The sequence below is a fragment of the Homo sapiens genome, chromosome 1, assembly GCF_000001405.40.
Source record: "Homo sapiens chromosome 1, GRCh38.p14 Primary Assembly".
Classification (NCBI taxonomy): domain Eukaryota; kingdom Metazoa; phylum Chordata; class Mammalia; order Primates; family Hominidae; genus Homo; species Homo sapiens.
In genome coordinates, this window is record NC_000001.11 from 23557100 (window position 1) to 23578438 (window position 21339).

The window sequence follows — 21339 nt, forward strand, 5'->3', positions numbered from 1 at the left end:
TCTCTACCTCTCAAAGGCTGTGAAAACCTGGTTCAGAAGCATTACCCACAGAGGTTCCCTTTCCCCATTTCTGAAATAGGGATAGGGATGCTTACAGAATAGGTTCCCAATGGAGGTGATGTAGAAATACCAGCAGAAATGAGGACTGTGGAGTCTCTGCCTCACATTCCTTGTTCAGGGTCGGACTCCACAACCACCTAGCATTAAAGAAGGGATTACTATCAGTACTTCCCAACCAGCATCCAAATCTTTATCCATTTCAGGAGACCTCCCTCTTTTTTCCAACTTTGGAAGCCCGCAAGGAAGCCAGCCCAGAGAGCAAGAAGGAAATGAAACCAGGCCCAGTTATCAGTTTATTCATTTTTGGAATTGGTCTATCAACCACCACCCATGCCTGGGCACCAGGTGAAGCAAACTTGAGGCTCTCCTCTTACCACATCCCCTGCTAGAAAGGCATAGTCAATAGTAACAATAAAGAGGAAAGCTACTGCTAGATCTCAAGGGACATGAAAACTCAGTTTTCAAGTTGCCTGAGCCACCAACTTTCAAGTTGCCTGAGCCACCAACTTGCTGGGCAAGCTTGCACCAGTCTCTGGTTTCATCTCTGAAATAATGAGCAGAGCCCAGAACTTTTCTCTGCACCCATCCCTCAATGGACATGAGACTCCCATCATGAACCCTTCTCTCTCCACCCCATCCCCTCTCAACCAGGCAGTTTTTCATTTCCCTCTCGTAGAATAAGCAAGTTCACTTTCCCAAAGCTCCCAAAATTCGGCCATGTGCGAGAAAGCATCATTAGTACTTAATGGAGACGGGTGTCATCATATACACAAGTGTTTAAAAATCGTTTATTATGCAAAATGTTAACTTTTATAAAAAGTTTAATATACATCGCATTGTTACAGAAAGTCACCTTCCTGTAAAAAAGGTACAAAACCTATATACTCTATTATAGAGTTCATAAATCAGGGCAACAGAACCTTTCTCCAAGGAGACCAGAAGACCAGCTCTGCCGCCGCCTTGGCATAGTTTGGAGAGCAGCCACTCCTTCCACACCTCCACGCTCTGAAGAGACCTTAGAACTTGGGGGTGGGGTGGGAGCAGGGTGACGTCGCCCAGCTGGTGGCCAGAGCTAGCTCTGGCTCTTCAGGCCACAAGTTCACAGTCCTTCGCTCCTGAGCACCAGGTTTAGTCTCCAGGAAGGGATTTGGTGAAGTCAAGTGGGCAGGGCGAAGTTGGGGCCCATCCCTGCCGTCCGGCTTCCGGCAGGAGAGGTTCCCGGGGTCCCAGGCAGAACGGGCGCCAGCACCTGCGTTCTGGGCGGGGGAGGAAAGAAGACCAAGGAGCAGTCAGTTTCCGCCGAGCGTGCCGAGGCGGGGGCCGTCCGCAGACTGGCCGGCGCCAGGGAGGAAACTTGGTCTGTACCTCCAGCTGATAACTCCGCGCCCCACGCTGCCCCCACCCAGTTGGCGCCAAAGACCACAGGCGGAGCTTGCGCTACCCCTCCTACTTGGAATTGACACTAGCTGGGAGGGGGCTGCCGAAGACAGCTCCCTATACAACATGGAACAGAAAGACTTGTATTTAGTCGGACCCATGTCTACTTTGCCAGACCCTCGGCCACTGCGGGAGGGCAGGGCCCAGGCGCATTTAAGGCTTAAATGCACATCACATGGAAACTGACTCTGCCATTCATTTGATGCAACCATGGGCAAGTCACTTGTCCCTCTCTGGCCTCAGTTTCCCTAAACCGAGTGAGTGGCAATTTTTCAAAACGTCTGCCAACTCCAGGACTTGCCGTTTAAACCTCCCTCTCCAAGAGAGGAGATACTCACCTGGAGGTGTCAGGACACGGCCGAGTCAGTGGCAAAAGCTCCTTTTGTCGTTGGAGATGACAAGTTCCGGAGTGAGCTCGGCTGTCTGATTAGAGGAAAAGAGGGAAGAGTTACGCGAGGCAATCGGGAGCTCCGAGGGTCCCGCAGCATCCTTGCCTGGGTGTTCAGCCCTGTCCCGACTTCGAGGCTTACCTGGATGGGAAGGTGGGGGCCATCAGGGGGTCCAGGGGCTGGCTCGGCCAGGACTACCTGCAGGTCGAGAATGTAGTCGATGACGCGCTGTAGGATTTCCACCTGGCTAAGCTGAGTGCCTCTCGGGACTCCGGGTACCAGTTCCCGCAGGCGGGAGTAGCAGTGGTTCATGTCGTCCAGCAAGCTCAGCGGCTCCTCAGCTGCCGGGCCCTTCCCTCGGCCCCGGGCGATGGCCAGACTGCGTTCCGACAGGCAGCACACCGCCTCGTAGCAGCCGCGCACCGGGCTCAGCGCCTTCATGCTGGGGAGTGAGTCCAGAGGTGCCCCAAAGAGAAAGAAAACCAAAAGAAGTCCCGCTACAGTGACCTGCAACGCGCGCACGCTCGCCGCGGCGGTCACTTATAGAGCCTGCCTGGAAGGCACGCCTCTTTATTCAAAATGGCCCGCCTCGGCCCTGCCCCCGCCGGCCCTGGGCGTTCACAGCCCGCTTAAATTGCAAACAGGCTTCCTCCGGCTGGTCTGACGCCGAAGACCGCGGAGCCGCGGATTCAAAGAATGAGGAAGCGCTGATACCGGGGAGAGGCGGGCCTCTCCGCCAGCAAGGATTTAAAAATCACTCAAAACCATTAACTTCCAGAATTTGCTTTTTCCTGGCAGCACCCCAGATCTTTGAGCTTCCCTGCCCCCTGCCAGTCCGCCTTTAGCCCAACACTGGTTCGAGCCACAGCTCCTCCGAGGTCATAAATCCCTGAACAGCAAAGAAGCTCCCCCCACCCCCCGTTTTTTTTAAGCGAAAGATTTTTCAAGGGAAACTTGTAAGGAATTAGTGCCGCCTTGTTCCCCAATTTGCTGTTCGTCTGACCTCCAGACTCACTGGCGTCAGGAATTATCTTGTGACCAGAGGGAAAAAAAATTAATTGCGGTGAAGCTGAGGTTACAATGAAGAAAACAGATTTGCGCTAGGCGCTGAGATTGCAGAAGGAGGAGGGAAAGGGGGTTTGAGCAAAGAACACTATTTATTTGAGCAACAGGGGAAAAGAAGAAAGCTTGAGCCCATGCTTTTTGCATGGGGAAAAAAGGAGCCTGGACCCTCTGCCCCATAAACTCCATAACGAACTAAATATATGCACAGTTGTGCTTTGTGAGTTCAATTAGAATTTTGGACAAGGTTTTAAATATGGAGGCACAGATGGGACAATTTCTACATAAACCTTTTTAAGAGCCCCCCCCCACCCAATTGGGTCAGCAAATTTCTTAACTTCCCCTCTCTTCACTTTCCACACACCTCTGTGTAGAAAACAGTGGTAATTTCATTGCTCTATTGTCTGTCCCTTTCTGCTATGGAAGGGCAGGCCACCTGGACTTGATTATTCTTAGCCCTGCTGAAGTAGCTCCAGCTCCATCTGAAAGACCAGGAAAGGAACCAGAGGGCCGGCAAACTAAGTCCTGTATTGCAACAGGACACTGTGCTCAGTATTCTTTGATTCTTTGCTTGCCTTCTTGTCACCTCCCTAGACATTTGGGGACCTGCACTTCCAAGATGCTGCTTTCCATTTTGGAAATGACCAAGTGGGATTCCCCCAATAGTTGCTTTCCTAATGAATCATTGGTGAATATTTATGGAGTCCCTCCGCATAAAACAGTGGCTCCTGCTTTCAAGAATCTCACAATTTGGGGAGACAAGATTAACACAGGAAACAAGAGTTCGATAATGTGTGGCACTGATTAACAGGACAAGGGGGGCTCAGAGCCAAAGAGAGTCGCAAAACGGTTGAAAAGGACACTGACTGGGAATTGAGAGCCCTGGGTTCATCATGCTAGCCCTGACAATAATTTGTCATGTAATCTTGAACAAGCCCAGGTACTCTGGCTTTAATTGCCTTGTGAGTAAAATAGACGATGGTACTAAGTGATTATTTAAAATCCTTTCCAATTGTAGAAGTCCAAGGTTGTGTGAAATTTGGATATGTAGGTGAAAGATGCTGAGGGGCCCAAGGAAGGCATTTAAGACATGCCCAATGTCACACTACAAGTAATAGCAGAGCCAGTCTTGAAGCCTCGTTCTTTTCCATCAAACCACAGGGCTCTGTGGCCCAAGAAAGATTTCTTCCTGGAATGTTTTTTTCAAGGACAGGCTCTTCAGTAAGAAAAGAGGAAGAAAACCTGTGAGTGGGCAAGTCAGTCTTTACATGCTACAGCCGTCAAGTGCCAGCTATTTGGTCAGGAAAGGCAAAATAATGGCTGTAGGAACTCCTGAATAACCGAAGAGAAGATCCTTCTTTTCCTATCTTGCAGACTTCTGTGGCAAAACGGTCAAGTCCAGAGGGTTCTAGAAAAATCACGGGCCAGGCAGATTTCTGTGCAAATGCCCATTCTTCTTCTTCTTCTTCTTTTTTTGTTTAAACTAATTGTGTAGACTTTGGCTGAGTTATCCTGGGTGCTTCTATTTTCCCATCTATAAAATGGAACTAATTGGGTCTACTCATTCATTCATTCGATAATTATTGAATGCCTCTTCTCTGCAAAGCACTTGATGTGTTCACTCCATCTGATCTTAGTCTTCTTACTGCCTGGGGGACCCAGCATGGGCCAGTTGTGTGGAAGGTGCTCAGTCTACCCAGATTCTCCTCCCTTCTTTTCCTTCCTCTACTACTGCAGCTGATGCCTCAGGCTTGTATAGTGATTTAGGTTTGCAAAGCACCTTCGCATTTATTATTTCCCAGGATGCTTCCAGGCTGAAATGCCCATGGGCTGTGTGACATAAGGCAGAAGGATGCTGTGGAATTAGCAAGCAAAATTCTGTTCTGTGCATGCCAATAATTTGCAGTGTGCCCTTGGACGAATTTCCTCCCTTCCTGGGCTTCATTTTCTCTTTAAAAAAAAAAAAAAAAAAAAGATAGTGGGTAGGTTGGGAGGAAGCAAGTGCCCTTTAATGGTCCTCTCTAGCCTAAGATTCTAATTCTGAAAGAAGCAGGTTATGGTTAGGAACACTGAATAGTGTTTAAACCCAAGAGACTTCTTTTTCCCCACAGCAGACTGGACAGGCTAGCTCAGGCCTTCTGCAACTTGTTTAGCAGTGGTGGGGCCTCAGCCTCTTATTCCAAATGCCTCTGAACTTTCTGTTCCCAGTTCTGCTCCTTTTACCAGCTTTTTCCCCCCTCTTGCATTTTTTATTTTTATGAAAGGATGTCATTAAGGCTTTTGTCTGCGCTGTTTTTGTTTCAGAACTTTTCTCACAATCCTATTTTTTGTTGAGGAATCCGCTCCTTTGCCCAGCTGTGGGTCCCGGTCCCACAGCTGTGTTGATCTAAGACTCAGCCCCAGACAGCCTGGCGCCAGGGTGGGACGTCATGCGTTCACACAGGGATGCGTGTCCCAGGCAACCTTTCCTCGGGCAGTCACCGGCCGGCGACTGCCTCCCCCACCAATGAGCGCCGGACACCCGAGAAAGGGGCGGGGTCTGCATCGCCCCAACCGCGAGCGGCTTGTGAATTGCAGATGCTGAGAACTTGATAATGTTGCTTCAATTGGGGCCCTTTAAAGTCTTTTTTTTTCTTTCTCTTTTAGTTCTTTATTTTCTTTTGTCTATTCCCTTTCTTTCCACCTTCTTCCTTTATCTATATATGTGTATAATTTTTCTTCTTCTTTTTTCTAACTATCTCCTCCCAGTGTCAGGAATCATTTTGTAAGCATTTCCAGGAACTCAATCTTCCTCTGCCAAAATAAAAAAAAGAAAAAAAAATTCAATGTTGTGCTCTCTGATTTTTTTTTTTTTGAGAAGTTGGCAGAACTCTTTAAGTTATACTGTTTTGTTTTTTAAAAAATTTTAGAATTTTTTAATTTCGTGGTAGTGGGCTCTCTAAATTGTTGATTTCAAAGTCAAAGTAATGATGACAAGGATTGCAGATGCCTTTTTGTCTAAGCTGAGCCTCTATTTATTATCTATCTATCATCTTTTTCCCATTTATGTCCCAGACATGGGGATCATGGGGACCTCAGAAACTTGCTCACGTTTACTTGGGATGTCAGTAGCTGGCCTATGGCCAGAACCCAGACCTCCTCTCATTTGACTCTCTGTCCACTCTGCCCTCTCTCTCTTTTTTTTTTTTGGGATGGAGTCTCACTCCGTCGCCCAGGGTGGAGTGCAGTGTTGTGATCTCGGCTCACCGCAACCTCCACCTCCTGGGTTCAAACGATTCTTCTGTCTCAGTCTCCTGAGTAGCTGGGACTACAGGCGCACGCCACCACACCCGGCTAATTTTTGTATTTTTAGTAGAGACAGGGTTTCACCATATTGGTCAGGCTGGTCTCGAACTCCTGACCTCATGATCCGCCCGACTTGGTCTCCCAAAGTGCTGGGATTACAGGTGTGAGCCACCGCGCCCGGCACTCTTAATAGCATTAGGGTGGTCTTAGAACATTCCCAAATGCCACATTTCATAATATGTATCTCCTTGCTCATAAGTGCCTAGAAGGTGTGGTGAGGACTTTGCAGTCACACACATAGAACATCCCTTCTCCTTCTCCTCCCCTCAGAGAGTCTGGAGCCCAAAGTATTGCTTGAGATTCAGGTGATACAAGGAAAGCACAGGGGATTCAGAATCAAGACCAGGCTCAATCCTTGCCCTGACTTCTCCTACCTTCACTCTGTCTCAGCTGTCTCTTCTATTAAATTGGGAGGAAAATACCATCCATCTACCTCACAGCTGGGAGAGTCAAAGGGGACAAGGGATGGAAAATGGTGTGGGAAACAGTTATTTTTATGTGCTGTAATGTGATGTAGCCCCTGTTGAGTGGGATAGGTGGTACCAAGTGAGTTGAGTGGTCCCTGCTGAGGCTGTTGTCAGGAATGTGAGGAGCATCAGGATCTAAGGCATGAGTCCTTACAGGGGTGGGGATTTCAAAGGCCTCCAGGATGGGCTACTCTCTAACTCAGAAGCACTCAGCGCCACCGCCACCATCATCATTCATTGAGTTCTGTTTGCCAAGTCCTGTTTGCCTTCTTACACATTTTCCCGCTGATCCCTTTTATAGACAGAGAGACAGTGGCTCAGAAAGGTGAATGTGCTTGCCCAAGGTCACATAGCTAGATAAGTGGCAGGTCCAAGATTTGCACCCAGGTCTGCCTGTCTCCCAAAGCCTGTATCCTCCTGCACCTATGCTTCTCCTTCTGCCCTCACAAAGGACCTCCTGGGAAGGTAGCTTGGACTTGAGAGGGTTTTATTCTACCAGATAGGGAAAAGCAAAGGTAAATCCATTAGGTAGGGAGACAGACACCGAAGTGTTGGGGTACTAGGGGAAAACATTGTTTTCTGTGCAGAGAGACTCAGAAAGCATTGGAATTTGTTGGAAATCTAAAGCTTTTCCTCCCTCAAATCCTCCCTCAAAGACCTTCCTATCCATACTTACGTTTTAGGAGATGTTTATTCTTTTTTTTTTTTTTGGAGACAGAGTTTCACTCTGTCACCCAGGCTGGAGTGCAATGGCATGATCTCGGCTCACTGCAATCTCTGCCTCCTGGGTTCTAAGCTATTCTCCTGCCTCAGCCTCTGGAGTAGCTGGGATTACAGGCACGAGCCACCACGCCCGGGCTAATTCCAGGCTGGTCTCAAATTCCTGACCTCAAGTGATCCACCCACCTAGGCGTCCCAAAGTGCTGGGATTTCAGGTGTGAGCCACTGTGCCCGGCCAGATTATTCTTAAAGCAAGTACACAGTAACTATTCCTGTTTTTAGGAGTCAGCTTTAGAGTTGAGCTCCCTCTTCTAACCCAGAGTCAGCCTAGCTTCAGTCAGCCACAACGCCCTGAAGTTAATTAACCCCTTACTTCAGCAGGCAGGCAGTAACTACAGAATGCCCACGGACCATCTGGGATTGAGGGCTGAGCACCCACAGGGAAGCAGGAAGGGAATTCATTTTCTGAGGAACTGTCATGTGTTCAAAGTTTCATAAATTTTATTTTAATAATTGGCCCTCGAGTTTTTTTGGGTAGGTATTATCATGATCATTTTCTCCACAAAAATACTGAAATTCAGCTGGGCATGGTGGCTCACATCCGTAATCCCAGCCCTTTGGGAGGCTGAGGTGGGCGGATCACCTGAGGTCAGGAGTTTGGAACCAGCCCGGCCAACATGATGAAACCCCATCTCTACTAAAAATACAAAATTTAGCCGGGTGTGGTGGCGGGTGCCTGTAATCCCAGCTACTCAGGAGGCTGAGGCAGGAGAATCGCTTGAACCCAGGAGGCGGAGGTTGCAGTGAGCCGAGATCACACCGCTGCACTCCAGCCTGGGCAACAGAGCGAGACTCCGTCTCAAAAAAACAAAAAACAAAAACCAAAAAAACGAAACAAAACAAAAACTGAAGTTCAAAGAGATTTATCCACACAGCTGACGGGGAAAAGGAGAAAACAATCAGAATTTGAATCCAGGCCTATGGCTCAAACACTGATACACACAAAGACAGAGATCTTCAAGCTGCTCAGTGTCCAGACACAAAAGGACTGGTTCCCTCATCCTTGCACTTCTAGGCTAATGAGTACAGAGACAGCCTTTGCCTCATTTCTCTGTTAAGGGAAAAGTTTGAAACTTCTAGACTTTGGAGAGCATCAGTAGGTTATGTAGGAATTTAACTCAGACTTAACAAACAGCAAAAGAAAAAGAATTATGAACTCATAATGCAGAGTTTCACTACTTCCAAAGCAATTTCATTCAGTTTCATTGAACATTCCCCGCAACCTTGTGGGGCACACAGCTCACCTGCTTCGTAATCAAGTCTTATTTGTCTCCCTGGAGTCAGTATCCTTCACGGTGCCTGGCACCAAGTAGGCACTTAATAAAGTTGTACTGAATTAAGTTCCACCCCATTAATTGCTTTTGGGAGACAACTTAGAGGGGGGATTTGAGACTCAAATGCAGGCTGTGCTGGATGACTGATTCTATGACTCCCAGGCATAATGTTCTTTGCTGTAGACAGATGCTGATGGTTGGATTTGGGACCCCACTAATCAGGGTTCAGGAAAGGCCTTAGAATGATGGGGTCCAAGGTAAGAAAAGATGAAGTCCAAAAAAGGCCTTGAAAAGCAATATTCACCTGCCCAAATGTGTTGGCCTAGGTCTCAGCAGTAGTTCAATGGCTGAGAGAGTAGAGAGGTCGGGAAGGGAGGGATGTGGCCTGGGGACCGAGCTGACCCTGCCTGAGAGGAAAGGGCTTCCCTGACCCTAACCGGGCCAGAGCTCTGCAGTGAGCTAGAGATACGGGGGTGCCAGAAAGCAGAGGTAGGGGCGCAGCTCAGAGAGAGCCTCCTGCTGGCCACAGCTATCCCTGAGTGTAATCAAGTGGCCCAAGCATCAGCAGGCTTAGGAGGATCTTTTGCAAAGTGCCAGTCATGAACCAGACATTTTACATGTATTATCGCCCTCAATTCTCATATCAGTTGAGGCTCAGAGAGGTGAAGTGACTTGCCCAAGGTCACACAGCAACTGGGAGGCAGAACAGAGTCCAGAGTTTATGGTTTGCAGCATGAGCCAGGCCACCAATTGGCGGGAGAAAGGAATCAAATGCTGGAGAATGGGAACTGTCTTAATAAGAAACTGGGGGCTGGGCATGGTGGCTCAGACCTGTAATCCTAGCACTTTGGGAGGCCGAGGTGGGCGGATCACCTGAGGTCAGGAGTTTGAGACCAGCCTGGCCAACATGGTGAAACCCCATCTGTACTAAAAATACGTAAGTTCGGCTGGGCGCGGTGGCTCACGCCTCTAATCGCAGCACTTTGGGAGGCTGAGGTGGGTGGATCATGAGGTCAGGAGATCGAGACCATCCAGGCTAACGCTGTGAAACCCCGTCTCTACTAAAAATACAAAAAATTAGCCGTGTGTGGTGCTGGGCGCCTGTAGTCCCAGCTACTCGGGAGGCTGAGGCAGGAGAATGGTGTGAACCCAGGAGGCGGAGCTTGCAGTGAGCCGAGATCGCAAGCCACTGAACTCCAGCCTGGGCGACAGAGCGAGACTCTGTCTCAAAACAACAACAACAACAACATAAGTTCGCTGGACGTGGTGGCTCATGCCTAAAATCCTAGCTACTCAGTAGACTGAGGCAGGAGAATCGCTTGAACCTCGGCAGTGGAGGTTGCAGTGAGCCGAGATCATGCCACTGCACTCCAGCCTGGGTGACAGAGTGACTCCGTCTCAAAAAAAGGAAGTATGTATTTGACATGGATTTTGTTTCACAGAACTTTATGGTGTCAGGCAGTGTGTGTGTGTGTGTGTGTGTGTGTGTGTGTGTGTCTCAGTTTCTTTCTTTTTTTGAGAGGAAGTCCCACTCTGCTGCCCAGGCTGGACTTTAGTGGCGCAATATTGGCTCACTGCAGACTCCAACTTCCGGATTCAAGGGATTCTCCTACCTCAGCCTCCTGAGTAGCTGGGATTACAGGCGTGCGCCACCACGCCCAGCTAATTTTTATATTTTTTGTAAAGACGGTGTTTCGCCATGTTGGCCAGGCTGGTCTCAAACTCCTGACCTCAAGTGATCCGCCCGCCTCAGCCTCCCAAAAGTGCTGGGATCACAGGCGTGAGCCACCGCGCCCGACCTCAGTTTCTGAGTGTATTCCTACCTGAGAATATGCTGTCCACCCTTGTCTGAGTGTGGGGCTGTCCTTGGGGGCTGTGCGCGGGGTGCGCCTATGTGTCTTCCTCCCTGGGTGTTTCAGCCTGCTGTGTGTGATGTGTCCCCGGGTCTAGTATAGGATCTTCCCTGGGTGTGCGGCTTTCTATGTGCGTGCTTCAGTGTATGTCCATCTTCCCCCAATCTCCTAGCCAGGTGCGGAACAGGGCCAAGAGGACAATAGGCTCGAGCGCCCAGGTGGCCTTTTCCTCCACTCCCTCACCCACCGCGACCCTCCCCTCCTGCACCCCGCGCCCTGACTGCCCCCTCTCTGGCCCTGCCCGACCTTCCGCGGCCCTCCCTGCCCGCGCCCCGGCGGCCCCACCCTGGCCCTACCCGGCCCTCCCCGCCCGCGCCCCGCGCCCGGCGGCCCCAACCCCCGGCGGTCCCGGACGCGCAGCTGCGGGACACACAATCGCCGGCGCCCCCTCTCCGCCCCCCGCGCAGCCCCTCGTCCAACAAAAGCCGCTTTCTTTCCCCACAACAGATTAAAGACCAGGAGGGGGTGAAAAATAGCTTCTCCGGCCACTGGCGGGGGAGGGGCGCGGGAAAAGCTGGGACTTTGGGGACTCTTTGATAGCGAGTGTGTGGGAAACCCGAAGGAATGTGGCTGTTCGGACCGCCGCGGCGGGGCCAGGCGCCGGGAGGAGGGTCCGCACCTCCCCCGCTGGGACTCCCGGGACCTCCCGGACCCCCGCGGCCCCAGCGTCCCTGCGGCCCCGGCGTCCCCACGCCCCACGCCGCCAGCGCCCTGCACGCCGCCTCCCGCCAGCTGAGCGTCTCCCGCGCCCCCTGCTTTTCCTCCCCTAGTCAATTTCCTCACATTCTAATTTCCTTACTTTCTTCTCACTTTCCCTTCCAATTCTCCTTTTCGCGAGTCCCCTATTCTCGTCCTCCACCTCTTTCTCTATGTCTTTTGCTCAAGTCTGTTCCCCTCGTCTCCCTCCCCGGGTCTTTATCTTGATCTATACATTCTTTTTTTTTTCTCTTTGTCTGGGACACACTCTGTGTCTCTTTGTTTCCGTGTCTCTTGCTATTTCTTGGTGGCTTTCCTGGGTTGGGTCCCAGGGATGGTGGATTTAGCACCGTCGCTGTCGCCCTTTCTCCTGCCCATCTGGAAGGGCTGGGAAAAGCAGGCCAGGGTGTGGGCAGTTTGTTTAAATGTCCCTCTCCCGCCACACACGTGTGAGTGCAGGTGGGCGCTGGGCAGGGAAGTCTGGGGAGCCCAGGAACACCCAGGGAGGAGCTGTGGGGAGGCCTGGCCAGCTAGACCAGGATGGAGCAGGGATGGGGGGACTCGTGGAAGCCTCCAAGGGTTTGGAATTATTTTTGGCCCGGTATAATTCAGTCTCTGAAAGGAATTCCTGGCCCAGGACCGGATGGTGGCCTTGGGACCCTTATGGGAAATGAGTTGGGTCTCCTGGCCCCCTCCTCTCTAGTCCTTGGGACAGGCTAGTGGGAGGAAGGGGGCTGGTTCAAGACAAAGGGCTTCCAGGTGGCTGAGGAAGGAGACCTTCCATGTGAAGACAGCGTGGTACAGTGGGGAACTCAGCCCTGGATCTTGGAATCCCAGCTTTCCCCTGGGCTCTGCCACTCCCTGACAACCTGGGCGAATCCCTTCTTCCTCTCTGGGCGTCAGTTTCCCCACCTGTAAAATGAGATGTTTGGACCAGTGGCCTTCAGCCTTTTTTTCCACCCTCAGATTGTAAGGTCTGATTTGTTCCAAATGCATTGCTTATATTAATGAATCTGCTTTCATATTTTGTGTTTATGAAAGACAAGCATTCAGTCAGGCTTTCTGATTAGCATGCTTCATTACCATGCAGAACTGGTCTAATTCAAAGAACAAAGACACCCCAGCCAAAGATACCCTAGACAGACTCTCGAACAGAGATACCCCAATTCCAGCTAAAGACACCCCAGACAGACCCCAAAAGCTCTTGGTGTTTTAGTAGTCTGTGCAGCAAAATCCCATGGAAGAAGAGCACAGGCTTTGCAGTCAGACAGCTTGGGTTTGAATCCTGACTCTGCCAGTGTCCAGCTGTGACCTTGGGGAGGTCACACACACCCTCCCTCAGTTTTCTTATCTGGAAAAAAGAAATATTCATGATATCCACCCCCACATAATTGTATTATATCAGATAACAGATACAAAAATTTAAGAAATAGGTGCTCAATGAGAGTTAGGATGTTGATGCTTTATACGAATGCTGTCCAATAGAACAATAATGCAAGCCACAAATGTAATTTTAAATTTTCCAGCAGCTATAGTTAAAAAAGCAAGGACAGTGAAATTAATTTTTTTTTGAGATAGGGTCTTGCTCTGTTGCCCAGGCTAGAGTGCAGTGGTGTGATCATGTTCAAACTGCAGCCTCGATGTCCTGGGTTCAAGTGATCCTCCCACCTCAGCCTCCTGAGTAACTGGAACCACAGATGCGTGCCACCAAGCCCGGCTCATTTTAAAATTATTTGTAGAGACAGGGTCTCACTATGTTGCCCAGGCTGGTCTCAAAACCCTGGACTCAAGCTATCCTCCCACCTCAACCTCTCAAAGTGTTGGGATTACAGGTGTGAGCCACTGTATCTGGCCTTAAAATTAATTTCAGTAATATACTTTACCTAATCCAATATATTCAAAACATTATTTCAACATGTGATGAACACAGAAAAACTATTATTCCTACATTATTTTTTATACTTAGTCATCAAAATCTCGTGTCTTTAATTCAGCACATCTCAGTTTGGACTAGATACATTTCAAATGCTCTGTAGCCACACATAGCTAGTGGCTACCAATTGAAAAACTCTGGTACTCCAGATGTGTGCCACCACACCTGGCTAATTTTTTTTAAAAAATTGTGTAGAGATGAGGTCTTGCTATGTTGCCCAGGCTGGTCTCAAACTCTTGGCCTCAAGCAGTCCTATCATCTCAGCCTCCCAAAGGAATTACAGTCATGAGCCACCATGCCCAGCCCAGATGAGATTTTGGTACGTGAAGACAGGGCAGGAGAAAGACTGGAGGGAAGGGGGCAGAGAATGGTATGAACAAAGCTGCTCAGGTGCAGATCACTTGATTGGGCAGGAGCGAGGAGGTGGAGAGGTGCAGGCCAGGATTGCAGAAGTAGATGGAGGTGGGGTATCTGGAGAGCTTTGAATGCCAGGCTAAAGAGCACAAATAATGTAAGCATACTTCCAGGGGGAAAAAAAAAAGAATTTGGTCAGTTTTTTCAGAGTGACTGTGGTTATGAGATCCACTTTATTCAGGGAAGAAGGCAGCCGTTCTCTGGGTACTGTAACTATTCCTGTTTCTATTGAAACCTGTTAGTGCTAACTATCATTTACTGAGGATTTACTATGACCAGGCGCTATGCCAAGCACTTTGTGTTAATAATCCTGTTTAATTATCTCAGCGAACCCTCATATGCTGCTGATGGGAAGGTAAAACTTCGGAAAACAGCTTGGCCATTTTTAAAAGTTAAATATCAGCCGGGTGTGGTGGCTCACGCCTGTAATCCCAGCACTTTGGGAGGCCGAGGCGGGCGGATCACCTGAGGTCAGGAGTTCGAGACCAGCTAACCAACATGGAAAAACCTCGTCTCTACTAAAAATACAAAATTAGCCGGGTATGGTGGCACATGCCTGTAATCCCACTGTAATCCCAGCTGCTCGGGAGGCTGAGGCAGGAGAATCACTTGAACCCAGGAGGCAGAGGTTGCAGTGAGCTGAGATCGCTCCGTTGCACTCCAGCCTGAGCAACAAGAGCAAAACTCCGTCTCAAAAAAAAAAAAAAAGTTAAACAGCAATTTATCACATGACCTAGCAGTTCTTCTCCTAGATCTCTACCCAAGAGAAATGAAAACAAGTCTACCCAGAAACTCATACAGGGATGTTCACAGCAGCATTGTTCATGATAGCAAAAAAGTGGAAATGACTCAAATGGCCATCAGCTGATGAATGGATCAACAAAATGTGGTGTATTCATACAATGGAATATTATTCAGCTATAAAAAAGGAATGAACTACTAATCTACACAATAAATAGATGGACCTCAAAAAATATGCTTACATGAAAGGAGCAAGACACAAAGGACCACATACTGTGCAGTTCCATTTATGTGAAATTTCTAAAAGAAATTTCTATAAATTTCTAAAAATTTATAGAGACAGAAAGTAGATTAATGGTTGCCTGGGACTGGGGGACAGAAGGGGAGTGACTGCTAATGGATACAGGGTTTTATGTGGGGGTGATGAAAGTATTCTGGAATTGATGTGATGGTTGCACGACTCTGTAAATGTGCTAAAAATCATTGAATTATATACATAAATATTGGTGAATTTTCTAGTATGTAAATTAAACACCAATAAATCTCTTTTTAAAAATTCTCCCAACAACTTTTTTTTTTTTTTTTTTGGAGACAGGGTCTTGCTCTGTTGCCCAGGCTGGAGTGCAGTGGCCTGATCATGGCTCACTGCAGCCTCAACCTTCATGCTTAGGCAATCCTCCTGCCTCAGCCTCCCGAGTAGCTGGAACCACAGGTACATGCCACCACAGCTGGCAAATTTTTTTTTTTTTTTTTGAGATGAAGTCTCACTCTGTCGCCCAGGCTGGAGTGCAGTGGTGCAATCTCGGCTCACTGCAAGCTCCGCCTCCTGGGTTCACACCATTCTCCTGCCTCAGCCTCCTGAATAGCTGGGATTACAGGCGCCCACCACCATACCCAGCTAATTTTTTTGTATTTTTAGTAGAGACGGGGTTTCACCATGTTAGCTAGGATGGTCTCGATTTCCTGACCTCGTGATCTGCCTGCCTGGTCCTCCCAAAGTGCTGTGATTATAGGATTATAGACCACTGCGCCCGGCCCAATTTTTTTGTACTTATTTGTAGAGACAGGGTCTCTCTATGCTGCCCAGGCTTCCAAACAACTTTTGTGACAGATACTATTATCATCCCATTTCACAGTTGCGGAAGCATCAGAAAGGTGAAGCCACCCGCCTAAGACCGAAGAGCTAGAAGCAAAAGAGCCAAATTTCAAAACTGCAAAGTGTTCCTGACCTCTGGGCTGTCCTGCTTCCTGGAAATTGCTTGGGCAGTGCGCTCCATCTTCCTGGGGCATTTAACCCACAAGTTTGCTAGCAGCCATGTTTTCAAGCTGCAACAACTACTTCTTGGATGGTGAGAATTGGGAGAGATGGCAGAAGGCCTGGGGAAGAGTGGGGATGCTGGGAAAGCCTCCTGGTGAGAAAGCTCAGGCCACAGCTGGGCCAGGGACATCCACAGCAGTCTCCAGGCTCTGACACCCCCTCCCCAACCCTGACTCCCTCCCAGGGGAGAGAATAACTTGGCTCCAAAGCTGAGGCCAGAATATAAGCCAGAGACCTGCTGACCTGACCCCCCCACCCTGGAATCTACTGAATCTGGGGCCAGGAGCAAGGAAGGGCTGACCCCAAACTGAACAAATCAAAAAGCCAAGTTCCCCTCTGAGCCCTGCAATTTTTTTTTCTTTTGGACCAAATAAGGAAGGAGCACCTGTTACTTTATAATCATACTGTAGGACAGCCTCGAGTTGAAAGCCATGGGATCTGGAGTCTTGAAAACGCGGTTCAAGCTCCTATCTTTTCTATTTCCAAACTCAGTGTCCTAGAGCAACTCACTCACTTTCCCCAAGCTTCAGTTTTTCTATCTATGAAATAGACAATGATACTCCTGTTAAGAGGGCGCTTGTAAGGATTTGGGGGACCAGAGGTTAAATTCGCTTCATTTTAGTTCACCTACGTTACTTATGTTTTGTTACATGTCTTAAGTTATGGTTTTAATAATCCCCCCACTCAAAAATAAACAAGATTAAAAGAATAATGAAAATAGTTAATAATAAGTGTCAACATTTATGGGCACTGATTTTGTGCTGTTTCAAGTGCTTTATACACATTAACTCATTTATCTTCATAAAAAGCCTATGAAGCCATTATACAGATGAGGAAACAGGCTCAGAGAGGCTAAGCATGTTGTTCAAGGTCACACAGCATGGAAGAGGCAAGCCGACTGACTCCAGAGCCTTAGCTTTGTGCCAGTCAGAATGGAAAAGAACTCCAAAAGACACCAACCTGGTTTATTCAAGTGCTGGCATGTAAGGATAAGGAAAAGCAGCCATCAGTTTGAATGACAGGCGATGGGTCCGGAGTAATTAGCCAAATGTATGAAGATTTCACCATTTCTAAACCATCCTGTTATATGACCACACATACCATCTTCATGGAAGTGCAGTAGCATCACCATGACAACTACTTTTGTGTTTTTACCTCTAATGTAATCGATTGTATTTTAAAATATTTTTAAATGAATAAAAGCTTTTGAATTTAATGTTTTAAGTAGGTAATACTTTCACCTGGTTAAAAACTCAAAAAGCTCGAGAGGCATAAAGTGAAAGGCCTCCTTCTCACCCCGGCCCCTGCCATCCTCTTCTCACAGTCAGCCAATGTTGCTAGTTTTGTGGGGAGGGGAAGAACTGATACTTTTTGAAAGTAGAAAGAGTGTGCTTGATTTGTTCTGAGGTCACAAGCCATAAAGCCCACCTTACTCTGGTTGATTTCTTCAGGTCGGCCTCAGCCTGATTTCCTGTACCCTTTGAGGCACTGCTGCTTCCTGCAGGTGATGGTTAGTCCCTTAGGGAGATGGTCAGTCCCTTCTCCCTCTGAACTTTCCCCTGAGGCACCCCCTTCAGTACCCGCTATGCTCCTGACCACATTCTCTCTGGCCTCTAGGCCTGACTGGTTCTCCATCCCCCAGAACCTGCAGAGCCTGTAAATGCCAGAGAAATCTCATCATCTCACACAGCTGATGTGGTAGAGGTGGACCCAGAGGTCACACCTGGGTGGCTTCAGGCTATATCTAGCCTATGAGATTTTTTGTTCTTTTTTGGTCTGCACAGTGATGTCAGAATTGGAAATCTTCACCTGAAAGTCCAATTTTCTGATTTCACTTGAAATATTGGCAGACTCAGCCACACTGAACCCATACTGATGCATGATGATGACAGCTGGAGCTGAGCAGCAGTTGCTCCCTTGAGAAGGAGCACAAGCTCTCTGGGTTGTATGGTCCCCGCCACTCTGGGTTGGTTAACATGGTAGGCAGGATCATAGTCACCTCCAAAGATGTCTGTGTCCTAATCCCTATAATTTGTGAATGTACTGTTACACGGCAAGTGGGAATTAAGTTTGCAGATGGAATGAAGGTTGCTATGCAGGATTATCTAGGTGGGTCCAATGGAATCAGAAGGGTCCTTAAAAGTGGGAGAGGGCAGCAGAAAAGAGTCAGAGAAAGAGAGGCAACCACGAAAACAGGGTCAGAGAGATGCCATGTTGCTGGCTTTGAAAATGAAGGAAGGGGTCACAACCCAAGGAATGTTGGCAGCCTCCAGAAGCTGGAAAAGGCAAGGAAATCAATTATCTTCCAGATTCTCCGAAAGGGAAGTCCCTGCAAACACCCTGATTTTAGCCCAGTGAGATCAGGTTGGTTTGAGAGCATAAACTTAAGTTGTTTTAAGTGACTAAGTTTGTAGTCATTTTGTTATAGCAGCAATAGAGAAGTAATACAGTTAATATGGGCCCTTGTAGGTCTCCAGGGATGGGGGAGTGGGGCACAGCTGTGAGAGCTGTTGTAAGTGTGCAAGACTCATAGCTTAAAGAGCTCGGTAAATGGCCATGAATGTTCTAATGAATAGGCGTAGCAGGCGGGTTCTGGGCAGAGTAGAGATATGGGTGACCCTTGCTTTGGTTTTTTCTCCCTCCACTCTTGTGACACCCTCTGCCCAGTTTCCTTCACAGCCCTGGGGCTTGCTGAGAGAGCCGGGCTGATATGTCAGGCCTTCAGCATTGAGTAGGGCAATCACTTAGCAAGTTGGCAGGTCTCAGCAGCTGGTGGAGGAATCTGGGCTCTGACTGAGGACAGGATTAGAGGTCAAAGTGGGAAAGTAGGGAATAGGCCCCAGACTGAGTAAAAAGACCAGGAGAGCTGAAGGTGGGGGAGGGTCAGGAGCAGGTTCTGAAAGGGGGTGCAAAGCTAGGCAGGGCCCAGACTTGAGGCCTGTTCTAGGTGGTGCTGGCTGGTAGGGGAATGACTGATGGTCTAGGATTGCTGAGGACAACTGTGCACCTGCCAGCACTGTCCTAAGCCTGCCTCTGAACACTAAGCTGTCAGCCTCTGTTTACCTTCCACTCTCAGTATAACCTGCATTCGGCCTATTTGTTGGGAGGCAACTGAAAAACTAATTTATCCTGAATTATTCTTAGTGACTGATAGTGGCTTACTGTGTCAGATACTTGCCAAGGAGATTCATGTTGAAGTGCATATCATTTTAACCTAAAAAGATGAAGTGCATTTAAGGTAGCAGTGTCTGAGAAGGAAAACCTCATGGCTACTGGTGGTGGGGGGTGGCAGGGAACATAGGATGTCACACGGTGGACAGCCTTACCTGCTCACAGGGCTGTACACCCCCAGGAGGTCTCTCATATTCCAGCCCCCATGTCCTTAAGTCTCTTTAGATTTTTTTCACCTGGGCTTTCATTACAATTCTTTTACTTTCCGTGTTTCCTGGGTAAGCTTGTTTATATATTTTTAGCAAACATTCATGTAACACTATGTGCCAGGCACCATTCTAAGTGCTTTACAAATGTTTATTTAGGTAACAGAGGTACTGTTGCCTCCATTTTACAGATAAGGAAACTGAGACACAGAGAGGCTAATTTGCCCAAGACCACGTGGCTAGCGAGTGGCTACACTTTCTGAGCCTCGGCTTTCTTGGCTGTTAAATTGATATGTATATACAAGCGCCCTCTGCATAGCAGGGCTTCTCAGACCCAACACTATTGACATTTTGGGCTGGATAATTCTTTGTTGTGAGGCTGTCCTGTGCATTGCAGGATGTTTAGCGGTATCCCTGGCCTCTACCACATAGGGTATTCACTGCCAAGAGATGCCAGTAGCAACTCCCACTCAAGCTGTGACAAACCTAAAATGTCCCCTGATCTTGCCAAATGTCCTCTGGGGGCAAAATCAACCCTAGTTTAGAACCACTGCCTAATAGGATCCTGGGGAGGATTAAATGAGCTATTTCATATAAAATACCTTCCGGCAATCCCTTCCCCATTCCTTCCATAACTCTATGGTGAGTTCTAACTCCTCAGAACCCTCTTGTTCTTTCTGTTCCTCTACTGTTTGGAAAATGTGCCCACCTATGGAGACTGGGTGCTTGAGAGCTTCTTGCAAATCCAAAGCTGTTCCAGGAGCTAGACCTGATTCCAGTCCTGTCATTTCCACAGACATGCTGTGGGACCTTGGCTGAAGTCCTTCCCCTCCTTGAGCCTCGGTTTCCCCATGTGTACGAGGGGGCTGACCCAGAAGCTTTCCGAAAGGTCTTCTCACTGCAGGAATCAGTGACTGGGTGATTCATACCAAGTGCAAATTCCCCTCACAAAGTCCAAATTCTTCCAGCGACTTAGTCATTCCAGGGTTTGAACTTTCTCGCAAAAACCATTTGAAAAATTCTTCCAGCTTAAAAAAAAAAAAAAAAAGCTATTAAAAGAAAGTAAAAGTTTCAAAACCAAATCCTAGGCAAACAACCCTGAAAACAATACACACACATACATATACATACAGCACCCAAGGTAGCTCTGAGAACAGGATATGAAACCTTGCAGGCCGGCACTAAGAAATGATTCACAGGCCTTTGAGATGCTTCTATTTCAAGACACAGTCCACCCACTGGATCTGGTGGCTCCAAAAACAAACTTTCAGCTGCTGTTTCTTATCGCAGTGTGGTTCGCCTGGCCAGTATCCTTGGGTCTCAAGAGCTCCAGACAGAAGACAAGGTTGAGTCCTGTGAATTCCCTTTCTGTTCTATTTCAAGCCTCAAGCTGCTGGCTTGTTTAAAGAAAGTCTTTTGCATCCACCTTTTGGTTGGCTGACCCGAGTTTAAAGCAACATAGCCTAATGGGTTCGTAGCACAGCCTGCGAATTCATAATTTTAGTTTAGCAAGGCCTCTGTGTGGCTCCAGCAAGTCCTACTGGATCCTGGGCTGGTCATTCTAGAAGCTGTCTCCAGCTAAACAATCCTGCCTGGCTTTCCTTATACATATCAATATTATACTTGCCCTAGGCCAGGATTAAGAATTTTAGCACAAATTCAAAATTTCATGCTTTTATGTAAAATAGAAATATAAAAGTAATTCATTCGATGAAATGCTTACTGAGTGCTCACTATATGCCAAGCACCAGCAATGTACTGGCGATAAAATACAGCCCCTGCCTTCAGGAGCCACATTGAACAGGAAAAGCAGACAATCTAAATATACATAGTAGAAACACATGGAACTATTCCCTATGGGAAATGCCCTGCATAAAAAGTGATACCAAAGTTGGAGCAAAATTGAAAGAAATGCAAATGCTTGTGATACGGTTAAGTACATTTTCATCTGTACTTACCCTTGATTTTGTTTTAGATTTAGAAAATCTTGAACTTTCACTGTTGCTTCATTTGCCCTCCAAAAATCCAGAATCTTACAGAAAGGGTCAGTGTCTGGATCAAACATGTTTCTTATCTAATTTCCTTGCCCCAGTTTTTGTTTATGCCATCATTGCTGCATGGAGTCCTCCCTCC

General features: G+C 48.0%; 1 protein-coding gene and 2 long non-coding RNA genes across 4 annotated transcripts in view, besides 6 other annotated features; 1 reads left to right on the forward strand and 2 right to left on the reverse strand.

The window, feature by feature from the left end:
- Positions 1-16601, forward strand: part of LOC124903876 (uncharacterized) — a 33818-nt gene extending 17217 nt beyond the window's left edge. Inside the window, exon 3 of the long non-coding RNA XR_007065537.1 lies at positions 15648-16601. This is a non-coding gene — a long non-coding RNA (uncharacterized LOC124903876). The remainder of the gene's footprint in view (positions 1-15647) is intronic.
- On the reverse strand, positions 827-2402 carry ID3 (inhibitor of DNA binding 3). Its single transcript, NM_002167.5, has 3 exons — positions 2028-2402; positions 1836-1920; positions 827-1316 (listed from the first exon to the last, which is right to left on the reverse strand). Exons 1-2 carry the CDS (start codon positions 2325-2327, stop codon positions 1861-1863), a joined length of 360 nt encoding a protein of 119 aa, NP_002158.3. The 5' UTR covers positions 2328-2402; the 3' UTR covers positions 827-1316; positions 1836-1860.
- Positions 1272-1401: an enhancer, noted in NCBI's record as "active region_366". NCBI's record gives its function as "activates an Ori minimal core promoter by ATAC-STARR-seq in GM12878 lymphoblastoid cells {active_cell/tissue: GM12878}" and the evidence as "EXISTENCE:reporter gene assay evidence [ECO:0000049][PMID:35858748]".
- Positions 2342-2601: a silencer, noted in NCBI's record as "silent region_417". NCBI's record gives its function as "represses an Ori minimal core promoter by ATAC-STARR-seq in GM12878 lymphoblastoid cells {active_cell/tissue: GM12878}" and the evidence as "EXISTENCE:reporter gene assay evidence [ECO:0000049][PMID:35858748]".
- Positions 2342-2715: a biological region, named in NCBI's record as "ReSE screen-validated silencer GRCh37_chr1:23886059-23886305".
- Positions 2469-2715: a silencer, noted in NCBI's record as "fragment chr1:23886059-23886305 (GRCh37/hg19 assembly coordinates)". NCBI's record gives its function as "represses an EF-1alpha promoter that drives an FKBP-Casp9 reporter gene in an ReSE screen in K562 erythroleukemia cells {active_cell/tissue: K562}" and the evidence as "EXISTENCE:reporter gene assay evidence [ECO:0000049][PMID:32094911]".
- Positions 11960-12494: an enhancer, noted in NCBI's record as "H3K27ac-H3K4me1 hESC enhancer chr1:23895549-23896083 (GRCh37/hg19 assembly coordinates)". NCBI's record gives its function as "activates a minimal SCP1, AML or CMV promoter by ChIP-STARR-seq in primed H9 embryonic stem cells {active_cell/tissue: H9 hESC(primed)}" and the evidence as "EXISTENCE:reporter gene assay evidence [ECO:0000049][PMID:30033119]".
- Positions 17658-17747: an enhancer, noted in NCBI's record as "active region_367". NCBI's record gives its function as "activates an Ori minimal core promoter by ATAC-STARR-seq in GM12878 lymphoblastoid cells {active_cell/tissue: GM12878}" and the evidence as "EXISTENCE:reporter gene assay evidence [ECO:0000049][PMID:35858748]".
- On the reverse strand, positions 19337-20608 carry LOC107984928 (uncharacterized). 2 transcript variants are annotated; one of them, XR_007065539.1, is made up of 2 exons: positions 20338-20608; positions 19337-20234 (listed from the first exon to the last, which is right to left on the reverse strand). It is a non-coding gene; the product is annotated as an uncharacterized LOC107984928 (long non-coding RNA). The 2 variants fall into 2 exon arrangements; XR_007065540.1 differs by having other exon boundaries at positions 20328-20608.
- Positions 20609-21339: the final 731 nt, after the last annotated feature.

Excerpts from the sequence above, each read along its gene's own strand:
- ID3 (NM_002167.5), bottom strand. The coding sequence starts at position 2,327 with ATGAAGGCGCTGAGCCCGGTGCGCGGCTGCTACGAGGCGGTGTGCTGC. Across the intron at positions 1,921-2,027 it reads GCCCCCACCTTCCCATCCAG|ACAGCCGAGCTCACTCCGGA; the intron begins GTAAGCCTCGAA and ends TCCTCTAATCAG.